The following is a 6,436-nucleotide window of genomic DNA, read 5'->3' as shown; positions in this document are numbered from 1 at the left end:
TAAAATATGGAATAAGAGATACCTATAGGGAAAAATATCTTAAGGGGATAATAATTAAGAGATAGAAGGAGGTAGAAGTCAAAACACAAGTGTATGGACCAACCTTGGATCAGAAGAAAAGCTGATCTTGGCTTGGGAGTAGAAACCTGGGAGAAGATTCTACACTAAAATTGAAATCTCTAGTAAGATGTGGGAAATAGGCAGGATAATACATTAATTTTTTTTAAGACAGAGTTTTGCTCTTGTTGCCCAGGCTGGAGTGCAATGGCATGATCTCGGCTCACTGCAACCTCTGCCTCCTGGCTTCAAGCTGTTCTCCTGCCTCAGCTTCCCGTGTAGCTGGGATTACAGGCACATGCCACTATGCTCAGATAATTTTTTTTTATTTTTAGTAGAGATGGGGTTTCACCACATTGGCCAGGCTGGCCTCGAACTCCTGAACCCCCGTGATCCACCCTCCCCGGCCTCCCAAAGTGCTGGGATTATAGGTGTGAGCCACCTCACCAGGCCTAATATATTAAATTTATTTCAGTTTCACAGTTAACTTCTAAGTGGTTAGTAAACAAGCCACCTTACATCTGTAGGTTTGAATTTACTTTATAAGAGAGAAGTATTGCATCCCTGCTTACTTCTCACTTTAGGATACAGAAATATAAAATGTGTGATCACAGATAAATAGAAAATGGCAAATACACATTAAGTTACATAATATCTTGTTCATAATCAAGATGAAATATATAAGAGAAGATTTATATGTTTACTTGACAACTATGGAGCAGAGGCATTAATATCAGTAGATAAGAGGTGAGTTCTTCCTTATCAGCTTGAACATCTTGTATTGAAGGTAGGTTGATCATTAGTCCTATGATACGAAACATCGATTGTATCAAATGTTATGAATGAGAGGCTATTCATCCACTAAAGCAGAATATCGCACATCTGGAACGTTCATTTGTAAAGGCTGCCATATCTCAGAATTGGCACGATGGGTTGCAGTGGAAAGAGAGTAAGTTTTGAAGTCCTCCGATCTTGCTTAACATTCTGGCTCTACTGTTTGTTAGCTATGAGTAGACAAGTCTATAATCCCATTTAGTAAGATAGTAATACAAGCAGCGCCTCACAAGTCTGCTGTCCTTTCTATCTCTTCTCTTAGTAAGGCAGCAATGGTATGAGTCATTGTAAAAGACATAAGCACAAGGACAATACCAGGTGTGTTAGACCATTTGTGCATTGCTAGAAAGGAATACCTGAGACTGGGTAAGTTATAAAGAAAATAGGTTTAGTTGACTCACGGTTTTGCAGGCTGTACAAACATGGCACCAACATCTGCTCAGCTTCTGGGGTGGCCTCAGGGAGCTTTTACTTATGGCCGAAGGTAAAGGGGAATCCAGGGTCCTGGTGAGGATGGGAGCAATAGAGAGAGTGGAGGTTGCGGGGAGGTGCCACACACTTTTAAGCAACCAGATCTTACGAGAATTCACTGACTGTGGCAACGACGGCACCAATGCAATAATGCTACACCATTCATTATTTACGATCATGAAATTCTTCTTGAAACTCTCAGTATCTTCCTGCCATATTTGGAATGAATTTTGAGCTTCTCATCATGGTCTACCAGGACTAACAAGGCTTTAGTGCGATACCACCATCTCATACCACAACACCCCCTGCTTACATTAGTGCAGTCATGCTTCCAGTCACTGATTCCAGAAAGTCTCTTGTTCAAATTATCCAGAGTCTGAACATGAGGTACTTGTGGTGGTCAGGGAGAATTAGGAGTGGAGAGGGAGGGAGCTGAAAAGGGAAGCGATGCAAGTGGCATTTCATGGCAGAGGAGATCTGGAATCTACCCACTTTTATATACCCATTTTAAATCAGTCCTTCTCTTCTCAGCCCCAATTCTTATTGCTGCCTTCCATTTTACCTGGTACCTTCAAGCTCTGAGCATTGCAATTGGAATACCTTTCACAAGTACTCAGGTTAAATTGTCCATTTTTTTCTCTAGGTCAGGTACTATACCTTGACCGACTTTCTAGCTTCCAAAATTCACAGCAATCTCTTGTCAATAGTTTTCTTTTTCTCTCCTATTTCTTTGACCTTATGAACTGATACATTTTTAATTCTTCATTCTTCTTCAGTGAAGTTCGGGAGAGTAGATATATGTATATGGTCAATCAGCCCACTTAATAGGAAGTATCCTGTCTTAGATCATTCATGCTGTGATAACAAAATACCTAAGACTATGTAATTTATAAAGAGAAGACATTTATTTTTCGCAGTTCTCAAGGCTGAGAAATCTGACATCAATTTGCCAGGAGGTTCTATTGTCTGGCCAGGGCACTCTGTCCCTTCTTCTAAGATGGCATTTTATTGCTGCATCCCCTGGATAAGACAAACATTGTGTCTTCACATGGTGGAAGGAATGAAAGAGGAAATAAGCCTAGCTAGCTCCCTCTCTTTTTTTTTTTTTTTCGACAGGGTCTCACTGTGTCACCCAGACTAGAGTACAGTGGCAGGATCATGGCTCACTGCAATCTCAAACTCCTGGTCTCAAGTGATCCTCACCTCTCAGCCTCTCAAGTAGTTAGGATTATAGCTGCGTGCCATCACTAATTTTTTAGCTCAGCTATTTTTAAAATTTTTTATTTTTTGCAGAGACAAGGTCTCACTATGTTGCCCATGTTGACCTCGAATTCCTGGCCTCAAGCAATCATCCTGCCTTAGCCTCCCAAAGTGCTGGGATTACAGGTGTAAACCACCATGCTTGGCCTGCCCCAGCTCTTTTAAAAGGCACTAATCCCAACCCTGAGAGCAGAGCCCTCATGTCCTAATCAACTTCTGAAGACCCTACCTCTTAATACTGTTGCCCTTGGGATGCAGTTTTAACATGAATTTTAGAAGGGACCCAAACATTCAACCCATAGCACATCCCTAGGATTAACTTGATTTCTCCCAACTCTTCTATTATAAGTTACAGAAAACCCTGGGACTTGAGGGCAAATCCTATATGAAATCCTATATCTGATACTATATCATCTGCTTAAGAGCAATGATAGTTTAGTCAGTTTAGACAGCATGACACTTTAAAACAGGGTTTCTCAACCTCAGCGCTATTGATGTTTGGGACTGCAAAACTCTTTATTGTGGGGAGCTTTGCTGTGCATTGTAGAATACTCAGCAGCATCCTTGGTCCCTATCTCCTCTTCCCTGCCCAAGTTGTAATAACCAAAACATCCCCAGACATAGTCAAACGTGTCCTGGGGAGAAAGTGCCCCTGGTTGAGAACCAATGATTTAGAACTTGAGAGTATCGTTACCAGAGTGAGGAGGGGGGCCGGTGGCAAACGCAAGAAACGTCTCTATTTTATCTGATCAACAAAAATATAACTTGCAAAACCTTGCGGCAAGACATAGCCTAATACTTTTGACCCTGAATTACTACATAATCCCAGGAAAAAGATATCATACTCCCAGGACAAGGGGAAAATGAAGTGAGCCAAGGTAGTGCTAAGGAACTCAGTAGTAGAATTCTGTGATCCTCACACAATCTTCATTTCCATTTCCATAACTGTTTACAGGCTCACCGGCTTTGCAGCTCTTGGTATTTTTTTTTTCAGTCTACCAATTTTGTTTCCTATGTCATCTGCAAATTTATATTTATTACATATTCTTTTAACAGATATTTCCCACTGAAAGAACATCAGGTACCACTGGAGACACTGCACATAGAGTACTGTATGTGAGATATACTCTCCTAATTTCATGCTGTTTATATTCATGTGGGAGCAATTGACAGTAAATCGTAAACCAATCAATACAAAAGTTAACTCAGATAGTGATAAGTGTTATATGGACAATAAGAATATATTGTGTTAGAAATGAAGGATGGGGCCAGGTGCAGTGACTGATGCCTATAATCCCAGCACTTTGGGAGGCCAAGGTGTGTGGGAGTTCGAGACCAGCCTGGTCAACATGGTGAAACCCCGCCTCTACTAAAAGTACAAAAATTAGCTCCGCATGGTTGCAGGCGTCTGTAGTCCCAGCTACTCGGGGAGGCTAAGGCAGGAGAATTGCTTGAACCTGGGAGGCGGGGGTTGCAGTGAGCTGAGATCACACCACTGCACTCCAGCCAAAGAAATAAAGGTTGGAGGGGAAGAGGCAGAGAAGGCAAGATTAGACTAGGAAGTTAGAGAAGACTCACTAAAAAGGAGACATCTGACTCAAAGCCAAAAACACAAGTAGAGGACGTAATTAAAAGTTTCCCATATGAAAATTTAGAAATACAACTCCAGGAAAAGGGAACATTCAGTGCTATGTGTGTGTATACACATATGTGTGCGCATGTGTATGGATACATATATACATTTAAATTGACATTTTTCTCTACTTCCTTGTTTCTGTTTGCCCATCGCCGCTCCTCCCTCATTAATTTAGGCCAAAAATGGCTCGGTACAGCTGCACGCCCTCCCCTCTCTCACACGCTGCATTTTCAGCTCCCACTGTCACCTCCCTCATTATTTTGTTGTTTCCTAATTTTAATTCTCAACTATTCTAATCTGATGGGCCAAGCTTATCGTTTTATTCCAAGTAATGCTGTAAACTGCTTGCTAGTCTAAGGATTGACTACTCTGGGATCAGATGCCCTTTCCTAATCTAATCAACAAGGCTACAACAGAAAAAGGTCATTTGGTACCAAAACATCTGCCTGAAGTTTCCCTTCGGTATGACTGAAGTCAAGTCAATTTTCCTTTAAAGAGCGAGGGTAAGCAAGCTTCCTGATTGACATATCTTGTGAAATCACCAGCTGAATCATCCTTTGCTATGTACTCAAGGTCATCCTGCCTTTCAGCTCCGCTGTGATTCATGTTTCATTTTTAATTTATCGTCCAGAGAAATCCCTGGAAGATATCAGAAAAACAGTCTTGGCAGTAGCAGAGGTTAAAAGCAAATAGATAAGTATATGTCTTCTCCACAACAGTGTAAGATTGAAACTAAGTTTCCCCAGACACCGAAACGAACATATGTTTTATATTAGTTCGCTTTCCCTGGTGTAAATCATACATTCATTTATTAAAGCAAAAATCATTGCACACTCATAGAAGCCAAACCATGTTGAAAGCTCTCGATAAAACAGCCATGAACAGAATGGATCCGGTCCCTGCCTTTGAAGGCTTACAAAATAATAGGCACATACAGTGGATATAGGAAATATGTCTTTGAGTACCCAGCACTTTTTGAGTTTTTTTTTCCCGTGTCTTGCAAATTTTCCAGGTAAGGAGGACTGCCACCCCCGTGAAGATTCCAGAAGCTCCACATCTCAGAGTTCCAACTAGAGCCCAGGCATGATTTTGGCTCTTCCTATCCAATGCATTGTTACAATATTAAGTGCAAATGAAAGGGCATGGAGATGAAAGCATAAAGAGTCTACTTTTTGTAAGTGTGGACTGGCATGGCAAAGTCATCCAGGCCCAAGAGGGAGCAGCAATAGCCATTCACATAATGATCTTTGGTACCTAAGATGTGGAGTCCTCACTTGAGCAGCCTCATGGCATAATCTTAGTATTACCTAGATTGGTACCGTCCAATATGGTCACTACTAGCCACATGCATCTTAAAATATGGCTTAAATCATGGCTACTTAAAATATGAATAGTGCAACTGATAAACTAAATTTTTCATTTTATTTCATTTTAATTAATTTAAATTTTAATTTAAAAATACTTCAGTTACTGGAAAACTGAAGTAGAATTGAAGCAATTCTGATATGTGAATCTACTTTTTCAAATGTACATTTTTTGAAATGTAAATATAGGTCTGGTATCTTTGATAAACATTTAGTGCCCAAGTTGAGATGGGTTGTAAGCGTAAAAAGCACACAGGAGGGCCGGGAGTGGTGGCTCATGCCTGTAATCCCAGCACTTTGGGAGGCCGAGGTGGGCAGATCATGAGGTCAGGAGATTGAGGCCATCCTGGCTAACATGGTGAAATTCCATCTATACTAAAAATACAAAACATTAGCCGGGCATGGGGGTGGGCACCTGTAGTCCCAGCTACTAGGGAGGCTGAGGCAGGAGAATGGTGTGAACCTGAGAGGCGGAGCTTGCAGTGAGCCAAGATTGCACCACTGCACTCCAGCCTGGGTGGCAGAGCGAGACTCCGTCTCAAAAAAAAAAAAAAAAAAAACCAAACAACAAACAACCCCACAGGATTTTGACGACCTTGTGTTAAAAACCATGTAATATATTTCATCAATAATTATTTATATTAATTACATGTTGAAACTTGTTCCTCTTTGGATCAGTAAAAAAAGAAAGAAAAAAATTAATTACATGTTGAAATATTTCAGATTAATCAAGGTAAATACAAGACATTGTTAAATTAACTTCACTTCTTTTATTTTACCCTTTTAACGTGGCTATGAAAAATTTTAAATTACC

The sequence above is a fragment of the Homo sapiens genome, chromosome 21 (assembly GCF_000001405.40).
Source record: "Homo sapiens chromosome 21, GRCh38.p14 Primary Assembly".
Classification (NCBI taxonomy): Eukaryota; Metazoa; Chordata; class Mammalia; order Primates; family Hominidae; genus Homo; species Homo sapiens.
The sequence above is the reverse complement of the archived record's forward strand: the minus strand, read 5'-3'. Positions refer to the sequence as shown.